The following is a 22407-nucleotide window of genomic DNA, read 5'->3' as shown; positions in this document are numbered from 1 at the left end:
CAGGAAGGAGAGTAAAGTCAGCAGTTGACTTAACATCTCTAGAGGCCTCTGCCCCTCCCCATGCTGAATTTACCATCTGGCATTGGTGCATGTGACCTTGGCAGGAGTTTCAATGACAAGACAATATCAGTGCATGCTGAACAAGCCACCTCTGGGGAGTGGAGTGTTCCCAAAGTGTCTTTGGAGGAAATACATTTAAATGTAAAGTCATCTGCTGAGTTACTCTCTATTTGTTACCTCTGTTTTCTACTCACAAGTCACTAGATTTTTTTTTTTTTTTTGACAGGGTTTCATTCTGTTGCCCAGGTTGGAAAGTAGTGGCGCAATCACATCTCACTGCAGCCTCAACCTCCCTGGCTCAGGTGATCCTCCCAACTCAGCCTCCTCAGTAGCCCAGAATACAGGCACACACCAACACGCCCAGCTGATTTTTGTATTTTTTGTAGAGATGAGGTTTCACTGTGTTGTCCAAGCTGGTCTCAAATTCCTGAGCTCAAGTGATCCACCCACCTTGGCTTCCCAAAACTCTGGGATTATAGGTGTGAGCCACCGTTCATGGCTACAAGTCACTAGATTCTTAACGGAGAGGACCACGAGGAATAATAAAACTGATAACAACAATAGCTGCCATTTTTCAGAACTTTCTGAGCCAGATGTTTCACATATGTTTTCTTCTTCACTTCACACCAATCTGGTGAGCTGAGCAGCATTAGTATGTTCATTTTCTAGCTGAAAAACTGAGTCTCCCAGTGGTGATGTCCTTTGTGAAAGGCCAGTCAATTGGTAAACAGCAGAGCTAATATTTAAACCAAACACTGCTTGACTCCAAATTCCATACTTACCTCAATACTGCACACCACATTCCTGTGCCACTTCTGTCCATTAGTCCCTCATCGAAGGGTAACCACTAACCTGATTTCCATGCAGAGATTAGTTATGCCTGTTTGTGTTTTATGTAAATGAACTCATATAGTGGGTGATGTTTTGTGGCTGGCATCTTTCACTCAACATGAAATTTGTGAGATTCACCCACATGAATGAATATGGTTGTAGACCATGCGCTTTGCTGTATAGAATTTCAATGTGTGACTATGTCTCAATTTATTTATCCATTCTACCATTGATGGACATTGAATGGTTTCCAGTTCTTGGCTATCACAAAAAGTGCTTTTATGAATATAACATATAAACTTTTAAGATTGTGGATAAAATCACATCATCTATGTAGAAATCATATCATCTGTGAATGAGAGTTTTAAGGGTTTTTTCTCCTTTCCAAACCTTATACCTTTTATTTCCTCCCTCCCTCCCTCCCTCTTTCTCCCTCCCTCCCTCCCTTCCTTCCTTCCTTCCTTTCTTCTTTTCTCTTTTTTTTTTTTTTTTCCTGACAGAGTCTTGCTCTCTCGCCCAGGCTGGAGTGCCGTGGTGGAATCTCAGCTTACTGCAACCTCCGTATCCCAGGTTCAAGTGATTCTCCTGCCTCAGCCTCCCGAATAGCTGGGACTACAGGTGCATGCCAACAAGCACGGCTACTTTTTTTGTATTTTTAGTAAAGAGGGGGTTTCACCTTTTTGGCCAGTCTAGTCTCAAAGCCCTAGCCTCAAGTGATCCACCCACCTGAGCCTCCCAAACTGCTGGGATCCCAGGAGTGGGCTACCGCACCCAGCCTCCTGTCTTTTTTCGTCCTGATTTTAAAAGCCTTCTCTGTTTTATGCTTAAAAATAATATTTACTGTAGGTTTTTGGTAGACTCCCTTTATCAGATTAAGGAAATCTGTTTTTAATCTGAGCTAGTTAATTAAAAATAAATAAATAGTATTTTGAATTTCATCAGATGTGTTTTCTCCATCTACTGAAAAACAATATTGTTTCATTCTTTTAATATGCTAATGTGGTGAATGATAATTATGGATTTCCTAAAGTTAAGCATTATATTCTTGGAAAAATCCCAGCTTAGTCCTGATGTACAGTATTATCTTTTCCCATAAACTACACGATTCATTTTGCTGATATTTGTGTAGGATTATTGCCTGTATATTCATGAATGAGGTTTTCCTATCACTTTATTGGATTTTTTGAGTTTTAGTATCAAAGTACAGTGCACTCATATAAATAGTTGGGGACTATCCTTTTTCTTTTTTTTAACCTTTTTTTTCGGGGTGGGGGGCAGGTTCTGGCTCTGTCGCCCAGGCTGGAATGCAGTGGGAGCAATCTCAGCTCATTGCAACCTCTGCCGCCTGGGCTCAAGCAATCCTCCCACCTCAGCCTTCTGAGTAGCTAAGATTACAGGTGCCTGCCATTACGCCTGGCTAATTTTTGTATTTTTTGTAGAGACGGAGTCTCACTATGTTGCCCAGGCTGGTCTCAAATTCCTGAGCTCAAGCAATCCACTTGTCTTGGCCTCCCAAAGTGCTAGGATTACAGGCGTGAGCCACTGTATTCTCAAAGAGTTTGCATAAGATTAGATGATATACTCTGTGAATGGTTGGTAGAACTTACCTGTAAAATCATCTGTGCCCAGTGATTCTCTTTGTGGGAAAATTAGACAATTGATTCACTTGTTTTAATGGTTATGAGCTATTTGGACTTCGTAATTTTTTTTTGAGTTGGTTATTTTTAAAAGAATGTGTGTTTCTTCTAAGCTTCTGCTTCTTTATGCATTCTTTGGCATATAGTTTTTAATAGTACACTATTATCTTTATAGTCTCTGCTGGATCTCTCTGTATATCCCTCTTTTTATTTTTAATATTGCAAATCTCTTTTTTTCATTTTCTTTTTTCTTCTTTTCTCTTTCTTTCTTTCTTTTCTTCTTCTTCTTCTTTTTTTTTTTTTTTTTTTTTTTTTTTTTTTTTTTTTTTTACAAGGCCTCACTCTGTCACCCAGGCTACAATGCAGTGGTGCAAACATGGCTCACTGCAGCCTCGACCTCTCAGGCTCAAACCATCCTCCTGCCTCAGCCTCTTGAGTAGCTGAGATTACAGCCATGAGCCACCACACCCAGCTAATTTAAAACAAAAAATTTTTTTTCAACTTTAAGTGCAAGGGTGCATGTGCAAAATGTGCAGGTTTGTTGCATAGGTAAACATGTACCCAAACTGGGTTTGAACTCCTGGGCTCAAGCAATCTGCCCACCTCAGCCTCCCAAAGTGCTGAGATTATAGGCGTAAGCCACCATGCCCAGCTACAAGCTACTAGATTCTTAATAGAGAGGACCATGAAGAATAATATTGATAATACTGATAAAAACCATAGCTGTCTAACAATCCTGTTAGAAGTTTAGTCATTTTATTTTTGTTTCCAAAGAACCAATTTTTGGTTTTGTTAATCAACTCTGTCACATCTTTGCTTTCTATTTTATGAATGCCTGTATTTATAGTTATCTTTCTTTTACTTTCTTGTATGTATTCTGTTGTTCCTTTTCTGATTTCTTAAGTTGGTTGCTTAGCTCATTAATTTTTAGCTTTTCTTCTCTCATGTTAATAAGCATTTGAGTCTCTATATTTCTCTTGTATTACCTTTTTCACTTCATGCCATAAGCCTTGGTATATGGTATTTTTATTATTGTCCAGTTCTAAATACTTTAAAATTTCTGTTAATGATGCTTTAATCCACAGAGTATTTTAAAATGAGATTTTAAAATTCTAAGCATATGTTTTTGAGTTCTAATTTAACTGCATTGTGATTAGAAAACTTGGTCCATAGGCTATTGAATATTTGAAAATCTTGATACTTCTCTTATGGCCTATCCCATGGTCAATTTTTGTCAATTTTTCATTGTTATATGGACTTTACATGTGTCCAATAAACCAAACTTGCCGATTTTTTATATTTTGACTTTTTTGTTTATCAATAAATAAAAGAGGTATCTTTGAACATGTCTCACTCTGATGATGAGTTTAACTCCTCTTTGTGTTCTATTGATTTTGCTTTACATATATGTAAGATTTTCTAGAATTGCTTCATCTTCCAGATCAATCATTTTGTTATTATACAGTGGTCCTGTCTGTCTATATAATGCCTTCTCTATTAAAGTCTGTATTCCCTGACAGCAGAAAGCTTTCTTTTGGTTAATATTTGTTTAATGTATCTGTCACTTCCAACATTTCCTTCTCCTTATGTTTAAATGTGTCCCTTGTGAATAGCATAACTGAATTTTAAAAATATCTAGTGTGACAATATTGATCTATTGTGTGATGAATTTAGTCTTTTTCATTCACTGTGGTGACTGATGCATCTGTATTCCTCTGTACTATTTGTTACTTTTTGCATCTTATTTATTCCATTTTTACTATGCCTATTTTCCTCTTCTTGAATGTTAACACTTTGAATTTTGGTTGCTTTCTTATTCCATTTTTTCTTCTACTTGTCTGGAAGTTATGCCATATTCTATTTCTGTTCTTTTGCGGTTTCCCTTGAAATTTTACCATGCAAATCTACTAAACTCTAACATTAGAATCTCAACCCTCCTATCAAACCACGTAATAATTTCTTTTTCTTTTTTTATTTCAACAGCTTTAGGGGTACAAGAGGTTTTTGGTTACATGGATGAATTGTATAGTACTGAAGTCTGGGCTTTTAGTGTGCCTGTCACTCAAATGTTGTACATTGTATTCAATGAGTAATTTTATTTTATCTCTCATGCCTCACCCACCCTCCTCACTTTTGAGTCTCCTGTGTCCATTCTGTATGCCTCTGCATACCCATAGCTCAGCTCCCATTATAAGTGAGTAGAGGCCACTCAAATTTATTTCTTCTCCCAACTTTCATTCTATTGTCTTTTTGTATTTTGATTTTGTCCTTTAAACATTTTTATTTCCATAAATTAGATGTGGAAATTAGATGTCATTTTTATAGATGATGTTTGTTAACATTTACTTATTTATTTATTTTGCAAGATCATTTTTCTTCTTTCCAGAGTGCATTTTATAAATGTTTCTTTGGCTTCGGTCTGCTAGTAGTAAATTCTGTTTCTGTTTCTCTGAAAATGTTTTCATTTTACTCTTATGAGTTAAGATATTTTTGCTGGGTGGACAATTCTAGGATGACTGTTATTTTCTCTTGGCACTTAGAAGGTATTATTTCACTGTCTCTTGGCTTTGGTTTTTGCTGTTGAGAAAGTTGCTGCCAGTCTAATTGTCATTCCTTTGTAGGTGATGCATTTTCTTTTTAAAATGCCTTTAAGAGATTCTGTTTGTTTTTGGTGTTCAGCATGTTACTTTCAATATGCCTACAGTTGGATTTACTGTCTTTGTATTTTCTGGAGACTGTCATGGGATGCTTACTGCGTCAATGTACTCATTTTTCATTGTTCTAGAAAGAAATCTTTAATTTGTTCTCTCTCCCATTTTCTCTATTCCTTCCTCCTGGACCCTGATTTGCTATTGAAACTTCTTGTTTTATCTTCTGCATCTCTTAACGTCTCTTTCACATTTTATATATTGTTTCTCTGTGTTGTATTCTGGGAAATCTCTATGGACCTATCTTCAAGTTCTCTAATTCTCTCCTCAGCTATGTTTAGTATGCTATTTACTGCCACCCTTTGCGGTTTTTGAAATAGCAAAAAACTATATTTTTTATTTCGAAAAGTTGCATTTCTTTTTCAAATATGACTAGTCGTATATGCCATTCCCTTCTGCTTGCCCGTTTTTGTGATGATATTTTTTCTTAAACATTTTATATGTGGTTTTTCTCTCCTCTGATTCTGATAATTCTAATATTTAAAGTCTGTATGGGTTTTAATATTTTTATTTCTATTGATTATCACTCATTATGATTTGTTTATTTGTGTGAATGATCTTTGTGAACTCATATTGGACTCATCTTAATCTGTGAAAAACTTGAGAGCTTAAATTGAGGATGCCTGCTCAAGAGTGGATTTGTGTTTGCTTCTGCCAGGAACCAGGGACACAATTACCCTGGACCAATGTCATCTCCTTTCAGGGTCTCTGGTCTAAACTGGGAATCTCAGAGTCAGCTTATCCTTATTGCTATATTGTTGTTTGTCCTCAGAGGAATTCTGCCTTTATGCATACAGACTCTCTCTCTCTCTCTCTCAATGTGTGTGTGTGTTTGTGTGCATGAAGTCCCTGTGGAGGTTTCCCTTACTTCCAAAATCCCAGCAATGCAAATAAATTGTATTTTAGGAAGCAGATAGCTGTTTGAAAGCAGGAGGGCCCTCAAGACAGCGAATCCCCCACACTGTGGGAAGTAGAGGTTTGGGCCTGTTTTTTGCATTAAATGGAGAGGGAGTATGAAAATCCAAGGAAACATGGAAACATTTCATTGCCATTAAAGCTACCCCAAATAAATGTTGGTTACTGTTTGTGGCACATACTTTCCTACATCTCATCTTATGATTGTTCTCAGGCTCTCTTGTGTGTACAAAGCTGTCCAATAACACCCTTGCCAATTCTACCCCATTCTGGTAACAGCCCCCATGGCCCAATTTGCACACTAGATCAAGTATAATGCTATATGCTCTAATACTATAATGGACACAGGTCCAAGGGAAGGGCTTGTGACCAAAGCTGGCCCCATCCAAGTCTTCTTCTGGAATTCTCCATATCAGAGGCAAAGAAGTCTCTCTTCTTGCATTGCAAATGGGATGCACATAAGCCTGAGGCTTTTGGTGGCCATCTTCCATGCCACATGGAAGTGTCCATCTTTAGCCTTGATTAACACATGGGTCTATTTCTGAGCTGAGGCTGTAAGGAAGATATTTTAAAAATGATTATAAAGAAGGAGGGCTTGTCACTGACAGCACATACATTCAGAGGGCTACAGGAGGACTCCCTCACTGTGCCACAACTGGGACCTAACCCTTCTGCCCCTTTGCCACTTTCAAGTCAGTAAAAGAGACATGACTTGTAGCAAGTGCCATCACCCACACAATACAAGTGACAATTAGGCCAATGCAGAAAATAAGACTTAGAACCTTTTGGAGTGGCTCCCCATTTTTTGAGAATTAGCTCACTTCTACTTAAACCACAAAATATAAACTTGCCAGCGAATCTGACTTCCTCGTTCCTTTGAGTTAGAACATCTGCAACATCAAAATGAAACAATAACTCCTTCTGAAGCACAGGAAAATTAGCTGGAAATAGTACTATTCTGGTTTCAAGTGCTATTAGAAGGGAAATGGGTCTAGTTATAACTAGACATAGAACTGGAAAATACCCAGAACTTTCTGACTTCTGAAAAAGACAAAATCAATTGGCAAGTGTTTGATGTCTCAAAAATAATTTTTTAAAGCTTATTATTGAAAGACTCTTGGATTATGTAAGATATACAAAAAGGAGAAGAATGCAGCTCCAGATAATTTTAATGACATTCCAGACCTAGGAAGGATTAATGCCTGAGAACACCCAATTGGGTCAGCATTTCCCCCCCAACCAATGCGGAATTGCTGCTATAGGATTAGGATGGAGGGAGAACATTAACAAAGGCTGTTCCAATGTAGAATTAATTCAGTTATGCAGTTGGGGGAGAAACACTTACATCCCCTAAAGTCACAAGTAACTTTTTTTTTTTTTTGAGACAGAGTCTTGCTCTGTCACCCAGGCTGGAGGGCAGTGGCGTGATCTCGGCTCACTGCAACCTCCGCCTCCCAGGTTCAAGCAATTCTACTGCCTCAGCCTCCTGAGTAGCTGGGATTACAGGCATGTACCACCACGCCCGGCTAATTCAAGTAATTTCTTTAAAACTTCTGAGGTCTATAAGTTTAAATGCAACTAAGCCAACAGTCAGTCTTTAAATTTCTACCATAAAAGACATGTATATTTTAATATTTGACAAGAGTTAGGTTAATTTGCCATTCATTCCTCCCAAATTCTGAGTGCACTTGCAATTCAGATTTTTTTAAATAAAAATTTGTGTCCGGCACTAGACTCAAGAAAAAATTACATAATAAAAACCAACATGGAGTTCTTATCATGTGTTAGGCACTGTTCTAAATTCCTTACATGTATTAATTTGTTTAATCATCACAACCCTATGAGTTATATACAGTACTTTATTCCCTTTAGTTGGATAAAGAAACTGATGCATGGATGGGTTAAGAATCTTGTCCAAAGTGACTGATTAGTTAAGGAATGAATCTTGGATTTTAACATGAGCAGTGTGGCTTCAGAGCTTGTGTTCTAACCATTGTGTCCTACTTCCTTTTAATTGTTAAAAGGCCACATAATGTAAGAAGACTGCATTGGGAGTCAGAAAAACCTGGGGCTCAAATTCCAGCTCTATCAGAATTTACTAGCAGCAGCATATCAGAAATCTTGCTCAACCTCACTGCTAAGCCTTAGTTTCTTATCTGTGAAATACTGTAATATGTACACCACAGAGATGTTATGAAATTAAAGGAGACAAATGAATATAAAAGAGCCTAGTATGTGTCAAGTGCCTGGCATATAGTAGGCCTTTGATAAGATTTGGCAATAGCCAAAGAGGGTAGGATGTTTTGATCTTGTAGCTTTGATCTGATATGTACTTAAATACAAATGTTTAAGTCAGAAAACCAAGGCTAATACATTTTCATTGAGCATTGAGAGAGTATTTTCCAACCACAAATCCCTTTAAGCCAATTCAATTCTGTGATCAGTTTTTAATGGTATAGTCTCTGCTTCCAATTTTTTAATTTTTGTTTTCAGTTTACAAAAACTTCTTTGTGTTAAGATCAATTGCATTTCTTTATTAGCGTTTTTGGCGATATCAAATGTGACCAATTATAGCCTCTGTCATTGTGGGCTTTCCTTTGTGGCAATTATTTCTTCCAAGTTCAACTTTCCTAGGTTGAATTCTGCATATGAAAGTGTTATAAAAACTTTGGTTCCATCATTCAAATTTAGTGTATCACAAATGTTACTATTTGCAGTTTTAGCCATCATTGAGTTTACTTTGTGTTAATAAATTTCTACCAAACCTAGTTTTTCTGGTGTCAACTTTTGAGGTTGTTATTGTTGACAACAAAATGTTATTTCTTTCTGCCATTTTCCCCTAGCAATATACAATGTGCAGTTTTAGTAATGTCAGTTTTATTTTGTTTTCATAAACTTTTTATTTTGAGATAATTATGGTTTCACATGCAGTTTTAGGAAATAATACAGAGAGATCCTGCATGCCTGTTACCTGGTTTCTCCCAGTGATAACATCTTGTAAACTACAATACAATATCACATCTAGGATATTGACATTGATAAAGTCAAGATACAAAACATTTCCATCACCAGAAGGATCCCTCATATTTAGATTTTATAACCACACCCACTTTCCTCCATTTCCACCCATTTACAGTCCCTGAAAGCCACTAATCTGTTCTCTGCAATTTTGTTATTTCAATAATGCTATATAATTAGAATCACACATTACGTAACTTTTTGGGATTGGCTTTTTTTTTTTTCTCAGCATAATTCATCTAAGCTATTGGATGAATCAGTATTTGGGGCCAGGTGGGGTGGCTCACGCCTGTAATCCCAGCACTCTGGGAGGCCGAGGTGGGTGGATCACCTGACGTCAAGAGTTTGAGACCAGCCTGGCAAACATGGCAAAACCCCATCTCTACTAAAAATACAAAAATTAGCTGGGCGTGGTGGTGGGCGCCTGTAATCCCAGCTACTTGGGAGGCTGAGGCAGGAGAATTGCTTGAACCCGGGAGGCAGAGGTTGCAGTGAGCCGAGATCGCACCATTGCACTCCAGCCTAGAGTGAAACTCTGTCTAAAAAAAAAAAAAAGTGGCTTTCTTTTTATTGCTGAGTGGTATTCCATGGTCTGGATGTACTACAGTTTGTTTAACCTTCAGCAATTGAAGGACATCTAGGTTAACCCTGTTTTTGGCTATTACAAATAAAGCTGTTATATTCACATACAGGTTTTCGTGAGACTGTAAGTCTTAATTTCTCAGGGATAAATGCTCACGAGTCCTATCACTGGGTTGTACAGTAGTTACGTCTTTAGTTTTTGAAGAAACTGCCACACTGTTTCCCAGAGTGGCTGTACCACTTTACATTCCCACTAGCAACATATGAGTGATCCAGTTTCTCTGCGTTCCTGTCAGCAATTGGTGTTGTCACTATTTCTTATTTTAGCCATTCTGACAGGTGAATAGTGATATCTCACTGTGGTTTTAATTTGCATTTTCCCACTCTGCAGCTTGTCATTTTATTCTTAAGAGTCTTTCATGGAGTAAACATTTATGATTCTGATAAATTCCAATTTATCAGGTTTTTTTAATCGATTGAACTTTCCGTGTCAAGTTTAAGAACTTTTTGCCTAACCCTGGATCCTAAAGATGTTCTCATATTTTTTTCTAAAAGTTTTGTAGTACTACAATTTACATTTAAGTCCATGATCCATTTTGAGTTAATTTTTATATAAGATGTGTGACTTCCCCCGTGCTTCCCCCCACCTCGGAGATATCCTCTTGTTCCAGCATCATTTGTTGAACAGGTTATCTTTCTCCATCAAATTGCTTTTGCGTCTTTGTTGAAAATTAATCAGACATATTTATATGGGTCTATTTCTGTTTTCTCTTTTATGTTCCTCTGATGTATGTGTCCCTTTACCAATACCACACAGTCTTGATTATGGTAGCTATAGAAAAAGTCATAAAATTCCTCCCACTTTTCTTTTTCAAAATTGTTTTAACTATTCTAGTTCCTTTGCTTTTCCAGATATATTTTAGAATTATCTTTCTGTATTTATAAAAATCTGGCTGGGATTTTGACAGAAATTGCAATTAATCAGTATGTTAGTTTGGGGGGAATTGACATGTTTATTATGTTGAGTCTTCTGATCTACGAAGAGTATGTTTCTCCATTTATTGAGGTCTTTTATTTCTTTCATCAGCATTTTATAGTTTTTAGCAGACAAGTCTTATACATTTTTTTTAGGTTTACATCTAGATATTCCTTTTTTTTAGTGATTGTCAATGGTATTGTATTTTAAAATTTTGGCAACACATATTCATTGATAATATATAGAAATACTATTGATTTTTTTAAATGTTGATCTTGTATCTTTCTACCTTGCTGAACTCATTCACTCTAGAAGATGCCTTAAAATTTTCTACATAAGCCATCCTATTATTTGCAAATAGGGGTAGTTTTATTTCTTTCTTTTTAATATGTATGGGTTTTATTTCCTTTTCTTGCCTTCCAGGCCTATGTTGAACAAGAGTGGTAAGTATCGACATCCTTGCCTTGTTTATAATTTTGGGGGGAAAGCATTCAGGCTTTCACTATTAGGTACGATGTTTGCTGTAGGTTTTTGTTTTGTTTTCTTTCATTTTTTTTCTTTTGTAGATACTGTTTATCAAGCTGAGAAAGTTTCCTTCTATTCTTACTTTTCTGAAAGTATTATCCATGAATGGGTGCTGAATTTTGTCATATGCTTTTTCTGCATCAATTGATATGTTCATGTGATTTTTCTTTTTTAGCTTGTTAATATCGTGGCTTATTAATATGATGATTGATTTTAGAATATTGAATTTGGAATCTAAATTGAATTCTTGGAATAAACTCCACTTGATTGTGGCATATAATTCTTTTCATATATTGTTGAATGCAATTTGCTAAGTTTTACTAGAGATTTTATGTTTATATTCATGAAGGACATTAATTTGTAGTTTTTGTTTATTTCATCCATTCTCTTTGCCTGGCTTGGAATTAGGGTAATACTAGCTTCCCGAAATGAACTGGAAAGTGCTCTTGGGCTAGAGATTTTTGGGGGGAGTTTTTAAATTGTGAATTTAATTTTATTAGTAGTTATGGGGATATTCAATGATCTATTTCATATTGGGTGAGTTGTGTTAATTTGTGTTTGGTCCATTCACATAAGTTGTCAAATTTATGTGTGTAAAGTTGTTCATGGTATTTCCTTATTATCCTTTTGATGTCTGCAGGGTCTGTAATGATATACCCATTTCACTCATTGTATTGGTAATTTGTGTCATCCTTTTTTTCTTTGTCAGTTTTTCTAGAGGGTTGTCAATTTTATTCAACTTTTCAAAGAACCAGATCTTTGTTTCACCCATTTTCTCTATTGTTTTTTATTTTTGCTTTGTTTTCTGCTCTTTATTATTTTCTTTCTTCTGCTTGCCTTGGGTTTATTTTGCTCTTTTTCAAGGTTCTTGAGTGGAAGCCTAGATAATTGTTTTGAGACCTTCCCTCTTTTCTAAAGTATGCACTTAACGCTATAAATTTCCCTCTCAACACTGCTTTAGCTGTGTCTCATGAATTTGACAAGTTTTATTTTTCATTCAGTTCAATGTGAATTTTTTATTTCCCTTGAGACTTCCAGTTTGATTTGTGGATTATTTAGAAGTGTTAAATTTCCAAGCACTAGATGTTTTCTTATTTTGTTATTGATTTATAATTTTGATTCTATTGTGATTGGAGAACACATTTTGTATGATTTCAGTTTTTAAAAATGTGTTGAGCTTGTTTCATGGCCCAGAATATGTTCTATCTTTGTATATGCTCCATGGCCTGGAAAAAAAATGCATATTCTCCTGTTGTTTGAGTCTTCTAGAAATGTTGATTAGATCTTGTTAGTTGATAGTGTTTTTGTATTCTTCTGCATCCTTGCTGATTTTCTGCTTATTGAAATCTTCAACTATAACTGTGGATTTATCTATTTGTCTTTCCAGTTCTATTAGTTTTTTTTTTCTTTTATTGGTTTAATTTTTTTTGAGATGGGGTCTCACTCTGCCACCCAGGCTGGATTGCAGTGGCATGATCTTGCCTCATTGCAACCTCTGCCTCTCAGACTCAAGTGATCCTCCCACCTCAGCTTCCTGAGTAGCTGGGACCACACGCATATGCCACCACGCCCAGCTACAGTTCTATTAGTTTTTGCTTCACACGCTTTGTAGCTCTGTTGTTTGATACATGTTTAGAATTGCTATGTCTTCTTGGTGGATTGACTGTATTGTAAATTTATAATGTTCCTCTCTGTTTCTGGTAGTTTTCTTTGCTCTGAAGTATACTTTATTTAATTTTAATATAATCAGTATTTTGCAAATATTCTCTCAGTTTATGGCTTATTTTCTCACTCTCTTGATCAATAATTTCTTTGTCTTTAGTTTTAGAAGTTTATGTTGTATCTTATGGATTTCTATGGGTTTACCCTTTTAGAGTTTAATACTTTATCACATTTGAAAAGTTTTCAGCCATTGTTTCCTTGAGTACTTTTTCAGCCCTCTCCTTATTGTACCTTTCTCCTGGATTCCCATACCATGAATGTTAGATCTTTTGTTATAGTCACATAGGCCCATAAGACTCTACTCATTTTGTTCCCCAATAAATTTTGTTTCTCCGTTTGGGTAATTTTTATTGTTCTCTCTTCCAGTTCACGGATTCTCTGCTTTCTCCCTTTATTCAGTTGTTGAGTCCATCCACTGAGTTTTTGATTATTGTTATTGTATTTTCCAGTTCTAAAATTTTCATTTGGTTCTTCTTTATACTTCTTATTTATTTGCTAAGACTTTCTATCTATTTGCAGATATTTCCTTTTTTTTTGTTTCAACGTGTTCATAATTGCTTGTTAAGGTATTTTTATTATGGTGGCTTTAAGTTCTTTTTAAGGTAAGTCTAACATTTGTCCGCATGTTGGCATCTATTGTTTACCTTTTCATTCAGTTTGGGATGTCCTTGGTTCTTGGTATAAAGTGTGAATCTCAGTTGAAACCTAGACATCTTGAGTATTATAAGGCTAGAACTTATTTAAACCTTTTGTTTTATCTGGCTTCCTCTGACACCACTCCAGAAGAGAAAGGGGGCCACTGCCTTATTACTACCAGCTGGGGACAGAACTCCAGGTCCCTACTCAACCTCCATTGTCACCTGAGGTGTGTGTGTGCGCACCTTTATTACTGCTGGTGGGGGTGGGAGTCCTGGCTCCCCTTCAGGCCTCTACTAATACCTCCCTGTCTAGGAGGTGTAGGAATGCCTCATTACTGGTTCCTATGTGGCCTCTACAGGGTGGCAGGGGCTGGGGGCCAAAAAAGGGGTATTCAGCCTTGTTCCTGGTGGATACTGATAGAAGTCCTAACTCCACTCATCTTCCTTTGACATCATCCAATGGGGAGGTGGGGAGGTGGGGAGGTGGGGAGAGATGCCTGGGGAGGCGGTGGTTGGAAGTCTGAGTTCCCCTGTGGTCTCTGCTGGCATTGCTAGGGCAGGAGGAGGGAGCTCCTTGTTTCAGCTTGCGAGGGTAAAAGTCTAGGTTCCCCCCTCAGTCTTTGCTGGCATGGGTAAGGGTGGAGTTTGTTGGAGTAGAGTGGTTATTGTCTAAAGTTTTTTTTCTTGTTAGCCTGCCCTTTCTTGATCCTTTGACTGGAAAGAGCTGACTTGTGTTGGGGCTTTTTTGTCTGCACTTGGTTTCTTGGGGTTATTCCTTTCTTTGGCTCCTGGTCTGAGATATATGAGGTCAAAAAAAGCCCAGGAAATTTACCACTGTGTGGCTCCTTGGGTCCCAAGGTCCCTAGCTGGTCTGTCGTCTCTCCACCTTTCAGTGTTCTCATGTTTGTTTTATGTATGATGTTGAGGGCTTTTAATTGTACTTAAGGGAAAAATAAGAAAAAGTAAGTCTACTCCATTTCTGTTAAATTCATTTTGTATAGATTAGTTCTACCAGTAATATTCACAAAGAATTGGAAAAAATACAAGTCTGTATTTATTTCTTGGAGCAAAAAGCAAAGAACATTAGGAAAAAATGCATGGGATATGGAGGTGAAGTCAAAACATCCTGTTTTATGGCCTTTATTTTGACTATGTATTGACCACCATGTTAAGTACTGTATAAAGAAGTCTAAGACGATGATCCTGGCTTCAAGTAGCATGTAGGCTAGTTAGGAAGCCAAGATGTGGATTGCAAAATAGGTATGCCATACAAGCAGTAACTACTAAGTACTCCATGAGCCATGCAGTTTGTCAGTGAAGAGTGATGTCAAGATGGGGCAGCCAGGGAAGAGGCAGAATGTGAACTAAGCTCAGAAAACCCAGGCATGGATATGGTAGAAGGGGGCAGCTGGGGAAAAGACACCAAAGTAGGGATAATGGAACTGAGAAAGGTGCAAGATCAGTGTTATTAACCAAAAAACCCTGCAGTACTTAACTATAGGGTATGTATCAGGTTCTGGGCACTGTGCCAAACACCTTACATGGATTAGTTTTTATCATCCTTTGCAACGTGCCTTTGAAGTACGAATTATTTTCCATTTTACAAACAAGAAAACAGGCTCAAAAAGGTAACTTCTCCAGTCTCACACAACTGTACTAAGAGGAAGAGCTAGGATTCATAACAAAGTCTGTCTGAAATGTCTTAAGCATTACTCTTGAATATTTGGGTTGCACATGGCATTTGGCCGGAACAGAGGATTAACTTGGGCAAGGAGAAGAGAATAAGGTTGGAAATTGAGGCAAGATATGTGAGCCCTTCCATTTTGAGCAAGGGGGCTGTCCCTGAACATTTCTGAGGAAAAGAGTAAGGGTCCTACAGTAGGCCTCTTTGGGCATACCAGGCAGAAGGGATCTGGGGCAGGGGAAGAAAATGGAATGGGGAAGAGGGCGTGGTTTCCATGATAAGAGCCAAGAAAGTGGACCTCAAACTGACCTCTGCACAAAATCCTTTGTCAGGTTACCTTTAATGTTTTAGAATTACTAATAAGATATAAATCTCCCAATGGGGCTTATTCTATTTCTCTCTCTCTAATACAAACGTGACACTAGGGGCTTTTTAAAGAAAGCATTTAGAGATTTCAATGAAGACTCTGAGATATGATGGGTTAATTTCTATTTAACTTTTGGCTCCTTATTTTTAAAATGTCATATTACTGAGTCATGCTTAGTCATTGACTCAGGGCCTGGTTAGGTTAATTAGACACAATGTGGGTAGACAGAATGACATCACATACCTCCTCCAAAAGAGACAGAGGAGAAATAGAGGGGAAGAGAAGGATTCCAATAGAATTTTATTTCATAAGACTGGATAGGACTGACCAAAAAAAGAAGCAGACCAAATAGATTCTAATGAGCTCTTAGATGATGTATTAGTCTGTTTTCACGTTGCTGATAAACACTTACCCAAGAGTGGGTAATTTATACAGAGAAAGAGGTTTAATGGACTCATTCCATGTGGCTGGGGAGGCCTTACAATCATGGTGGAAGGTGAAAGACAAGAGAGAATGAGATCAAGTGAAAGGGGTTTCCCCTTATAAAACAGTCAGATCTCTTTAGACTTATTCACTACTATGAGAATAGTATGGGGGAAACCCCACCCCCATGATTCAATTATCTCCCAAGGCCTCTCCTACAACACCTGGGAATTACGGGAGCTACAGCTCAAGATGAGATTTGGGTGAGGACACAGCCAAACTATATCAGATGGCCTGGCTGTGGTGGAACAGTCAAGACATAGTGCTGATGGAATTATAAACACTTCCTATCAACACAGGGAGGGAAGGCCAAAGAAGTTCACAATCATATAGGAACTACAGAGTGCTGTTTCCAAAAATGTTTCACAGAACATCAATTCCATGAAATTATCTGAGAAAAAAAGGGGGGAGGGGCATTAAACAAATAACTGTCTTTACTGCATGCCTTTTCAGAGTCTTTAAAATTTTAAAGTGCATTATGAACTCCCAAGAGAGGATATAATATGCAGGGTTCCCAAATCTACTCGTTCACAGGAATCCTCCCACTTCGCCCTTTTTAAAATTTCTTTTTGTCTTGGAGATTTCTTATGACCGGTACTTTATACTTCACCCTTTCATAAGTTCTGGGACAGGAAAAGACTTAAGACATATCACAGAATTGTATCCCTAACTATAGATTTTTCTCTGGTGTCTCCAAAATGTGCCTGTTGTGTGTTTCTAAGATTACTTGAGAGCTAAATGAGTATTTTCTATTCAAATCGAAATTCACAAAGCGAAGTCATTTTCATAGAAATTCCCAAAATTGGGAGGAGCCAAGATGGCCGAATAGGAACAGCTCCGGTCTACAGCTCCCAGTGTGAGCGACGCAGAAGACGAGTGATTTCTGCATTTACATCTGAGGTACCGGGTTCATCTCACTACGGAGTGCCAGACAGTGGGCGCAGGCCAGTGGGTGCGCGCACCGTGCGCGAGCCGAAGCAGGGCGAGGCATTGCCTCACCTGGGAAGCGCAAGGGGTCAGGGAGTTCCCTTTCCGAGTCAAAGAAAGGGGTGATGGACGCACCTGGAAAACCGGGTCACTCCCACCAGAATATTGCGCTTTTCAGACCAGCTTAAAAAACGGCGCACCACGAGACTATATCCCACACCTGGCTCGGAGGGTCCTACCCCCATGGAATCTCGCTGATTGCTAGCACAGCAGTCTGAGATCAAACTGCAAGGCGGCAGCGAGGCTGGGGGAGGGGTGCCCGCCATTGCCCAGGCTTGCTTAGGTAAACAAAGCAGCCAGGAAGCTCGAACTGGGTGGAGCCCACCACAGCTCAAGGAGGCCTGCCTGCCTCTGTAGGCTCCACCTCTGGGGGCAGGGCACAGACAAACAAAAAGACAGCAGTAACCTCTGCAGACTTAAATGTCCCTGTCTGACAGCTTTGAAGCGAGCAGTGGTTCTCCCAGCACGCAGCTGGAGATCTGAGAACGGGCAGACTGCCTCCTCAAGTGGGTCCCTGACCCCGACCCCTGAGCAGCCTAACTGGGAGGCACCCCCCAGCAGGGGCACACTGACACCTCACACGGCAGGGTATTCCAACAGACCTGCAGCTGAGGGTCCTGTCTGTTAGAAGGAAAACTAACAAACAGAAAGGATATCCACACTGAAAACCCATCTGTACATCACCATCATCAAAGACCAAAAGTAGATAAAACCACAAAGATGGGGAAAAAACAGAACAGAAAAACTGGAAACTCTAAAACGCAGAGCGCCTCTCCTCCTCCAAAGGAACGCAGTTCCTCACCAGCAACGGAACAAAGCTGGATGGAGAATGACTTTGACGAGCTGAGAGAAGAAGGCTTCAGACGATCAAATTACTCTGAGCTACGGGAGGACATTCAAACCAAAGGCAAAGAAGTTGAAAACTTTGAAAAAAATTTAGAAGAATGCATAACTAGAATAACCAATACAGAGAAGTACTTAAAGGAGCTGATGGAGCTGAAAACCAAGGCTCGAGAACTATGTGAAGAATGCAGGAGCCTCAGGAGCCGATGCGATCAACTGGAAGAAAGGGTATCAGCAATGGAAGATGAAATGAATGAAATGAAGCAAGAAGGGAAGTTTAGAGAAAAAAGAATAAAAAGAAATGAGCAAAGCCTCCAAGAAATATGGGACTATGTGAAACGACCAAATCTACGTCTGATTGGTGTACCTGAAAGTGATGGGGAGAATGGAACCAAGTTGGAAAACACTCTGCAGGATATTATCCAGGAGAACTTCCCCAATCTAGCAAGGCAGGCCAATGTTCAGATTCAGGAAATACAGAGAACGCCACAAAGATACTCCTCGAGAAGAACAACTCCAAGACACATAATTGTCAGATTCACCAAAGTTGAAATGAAGGAAAAAATGTTAAGGGCAGCCAGAGAGAAAGATTGGGTTACCCTCAAAGGGAAGCCCATCAGACTAACAGCGGATCTCTCTGCAGAAACCCTACAAGCCAGAAGGGAGTGGGGGCCAATATTCAACATTCTTAAAGAAAAGAATTTTCAACCCAGAATTTCATATCCAGCCAAACTAAGCTTCATAAGTGAAGGAGAAATAAAATACTTTACAGACAAGCAAATGCTGACCGATTTTGTCACCACTAGGCCTGCCCTAAAAGAGCTCCTGAAGGAAGTGCTAAACATGGAAAGGAACAACCGGTACCAGCCGCTGCAAAATCATGCCAAAATGTAAAGACCATCGAGACTAGGAAGAAACTGTATTAACTAACGAGCAAAATCACCAGCTAACATCATAATGACAGGATCAAATTCACACATAACAATATTAACTTTAAATGTAAATGGACTAAATTCTCCAATTAAAAGACACAGACTGGCAAATTGGATAAAGAGTCAAGACCCATCAGTGTGCTGTATTCAGGAAACCCATCTCACGTGCAGAGACACATATAGGCTCAAAATAAAAGGATGGAGGAAGATCTACCAAGCAAATGGAAAACAAAAAAAGGCAGGGGTTGCAATCCTAGTCTCTGATAAAACAGACTTTAAACCAACAAAGATCAAAAGAGACAAAGAAGGCCATTACATAATGGTAAAGGGATCAATTCAACAAGAGGAGCTAACTATCCTAAATATATATGCACCCAATACAGGAGCACCCAGATTCATAAAGCAAGTCCTGAGTGACCTACAAAGAGACTTAGACTCCCACACATTAATAATGGGAGACTTTGACACCCCACTGTCAACATTAGACAGATCAACGAGACAGAAAGTCAACAAGGATACCCAGGAATTGAACTCAGCTCTGCACCAAGCGGACCTAATAGACATCTACAGAACTCTCCACCCCAAATCAACAGAATATACATTTTTTTCAGCACCACACCACACCTATTCCAAAATTGACCACATAGTTGGAAGTAAAGCTCTCCTCAGCAAATGTAAAAGAACAGAAATTATAACAAACTATCTCTCAGACCACAGTGCAATCAAACTAGAACTCAGGATTAAGAATCTCACTCAAAGCCGCTCAACTACATGGAAACTGAACAACCTGCTCCTGAATGACTACTGGGTACATAACGAAATGAAGGCAGAAATAAAGATGTTCTTTGAAACCAACGAGAACAAAGACACAACATACCAGAATCTCTGGGACACATTCAAAGCAGTGTGTAGAGGGAAATTTATAGCACTAAATGCCCACAAGAGAAAGCAGGAAAGATCCAAAATTGACACCCTAACATCACAATTAAAAGAACTAGAAAAGCAAGAGCAAACACATTTAAAAGTTAGCAGAAGGCAAGAAATAACTAAAATCAGAGCAGAACTGAAGGAAATAGAGACACAAAAAACCCTTCAAAAAATCAATGAATCCAGGAGCTGGTTTTTTGAAAGGATCAACAAAATTGATAGACCGCTAGCAAGACTAATAAAGAAAAAAGAGAAGAATCAAATAGACACAATAAAAAATGATAAAGGGGATATCACCACCAATCCCACAGAAATACAAACTACAATCAGAGAATACTACAAACACCTCTACGCAAATAAACTAGAAAATCTAGAAGAAATGGATAAATTCCTCGACACATACACTCTCCCAAGACTAAACCAGGAAGAAGTTGAATCTCTGAATAGACCAATAACAGGAGCTGAAATTGTGGCAATAATCAATAGTTTACCAACCAAAAAGAGTCCAGGACCAGATGGATTCACAGCCGAATTCTACCAGAGGTACAAGGAGGAACTGGTACCATTCCTTCTGAAACTATTCCAATCAATAGAAAAAGAGGGAATCCTCCCTAACTCATTTTATGAGGCCACCATCATTCTGATACCAAAGCTGGGCAGAGACACAACCAAAAAAGAGAATTTTAGACCAATATCCTTGATGAACATCGATGCAAAAATCCTCAATAAAATACTGGCAAACCGAATCCAGCAGCACATCAAAAAGCTTATCCACCATGATCAAGTGGGCTTCATCCCTGGGATGCAAGGCTGGTTCAATATATGCAAATCAATAAATGTAATCCAGCATATAAACAGAGCCAAAGATAAAAACCACATGATTATCTCAATAGATGCAGAAAAAGCCTTTGACAAAATTCAACAACCCTTCATGCTAAAAACTCTCAATAAATTAGGTATTGATGGGACGTATTTCAAAATAATAAGAGCTATCTATGGCAAACCCACAGCCAATATCATACTGAATGGGCAAAGACTGGAAGCATTCCCTTTGAAAACTGGCACAAGACAGGGATGCCCTCTCTCACCGCTCCTATTCAACATAGTTTTGGAAGTTCTGGCCAGGGCAATCAGGCAGGAGAAGGAAATAAAGGGTATTCAATTAGGAAAAGAGGAAGTCAAATTGTCCCTGTTTGCAGACGACGTGATTGTTTATCTAGAAAACCCCATTGTCTCAGCCCAAAATCTCCTTAAGCTGATAAGCAACTTCAGCAAAGTCTCAGGATACAAAATCAATGTACAAAAATCACAAGCATTCCTATACACCAACAACAGACAAACAGAGAGCCAAATCATGAGTGAACTCCCATTCACAATTGCTTCAAAGAGAATAAAATACCTAGGAATCCAACTTACAAGGGATGTGAAGGACCTCTTCAAGGAGAACTACAAACCACTGCTCAAGGAAATAAAAGAGGATACAAACAAATGGAAGAACATTCCATGCTCATGGGTAGGAAGAATCAATATCATGAAAATGGCCATACTGCCCAAGGTAATTTACAGATTCAATGCCATCCCCATCAAGCTACCAATGACTTTCTTCACAGAATTGGAAAAAACTACTTTAAAGTTCATATGGAACCAAAAAAGAGCCCACATCGCCAAGTCAATCCTAAGCCAAAAGAACAAAGCTGGAGGCATCACACTACCTGACTTCGAACTATACTACAAGGCTACAGTAACCAAAACAGCATGGTACTGGTACCAAAACAGAGATATAGATCAATGGAACAGAACAGAGCCCTCAGAAATAATGCCGCTTACCTACAACTATCTGATCTTTGACAAACCTGAGAAAAACAAGCAATGGGGAAAGGATTCCCTTTTTAATAAATGGTGCTGGGAAAACTGGCTAGCCATATGTAGAAAGCTGAAACTGGATCCCTTCCTTACACCTTATACAAAAATCAATTCAAGATGGACTAAAGATTTAAACGTTAGACCTAAAACCATAAAAACCCTAGAAGAAAACCTAGGCATTACCATTCAGGACACAGGCGTGGGCAAGGACTTCATGTCCAAAACACCAAAAGCAATGGCAACAAAAGCCAAAATTGACAAATGGGATCTAATTAAACTAAAGAGCTTCTGCACAGCAAAAGAAACTACCATCAGAGTGAACAGGCAACCTACAACATGGGAGAAAATTTTCGCAACCTACTCATCTGACAAAGGGCTAATATCCAGAATCTACAATGAACTCCAACAAATTTACAAGAAAAAAACAACCCCATCAAAAAGTGGGCAAAGGACATGAACAGACACTTCTCAAAAGAAGACATTTATGCAGCCAAAAAACACATGAAAAAATGCTCATCATCACTGGCCATCAGAGAAATGCAAATCAAAACCACTATGAGATATCATCTCACACCAGTTAGAATGGCAATCATTAAAAAGTCAGGAAACAACAGGTGTTGGAGAGGATGTGGAGAAATGGGAACACTTTTACACTGTTGGTGGGACTGTAAACTAGTTCGACCATTGTGGAAGTCAGTGTGGCGATTCC

The sequence above is a fragment of the Homo sapiens genome, chromosome 1 (assembly GCF_000001405.40).
Source record: "Homo sapiens chromosome 1, GRCh38.p14 Primary Assembly".
In the NCBI taxonomy this organism is placed as follows: domain Eukaryota; kingdom Metazoa; phylum Chordata; class Mammalia; order Primates; family Hominidae; genus Homo; species Homo sapiens.
Note: the sequence above shows the minus strand (reverse complement) of the source record.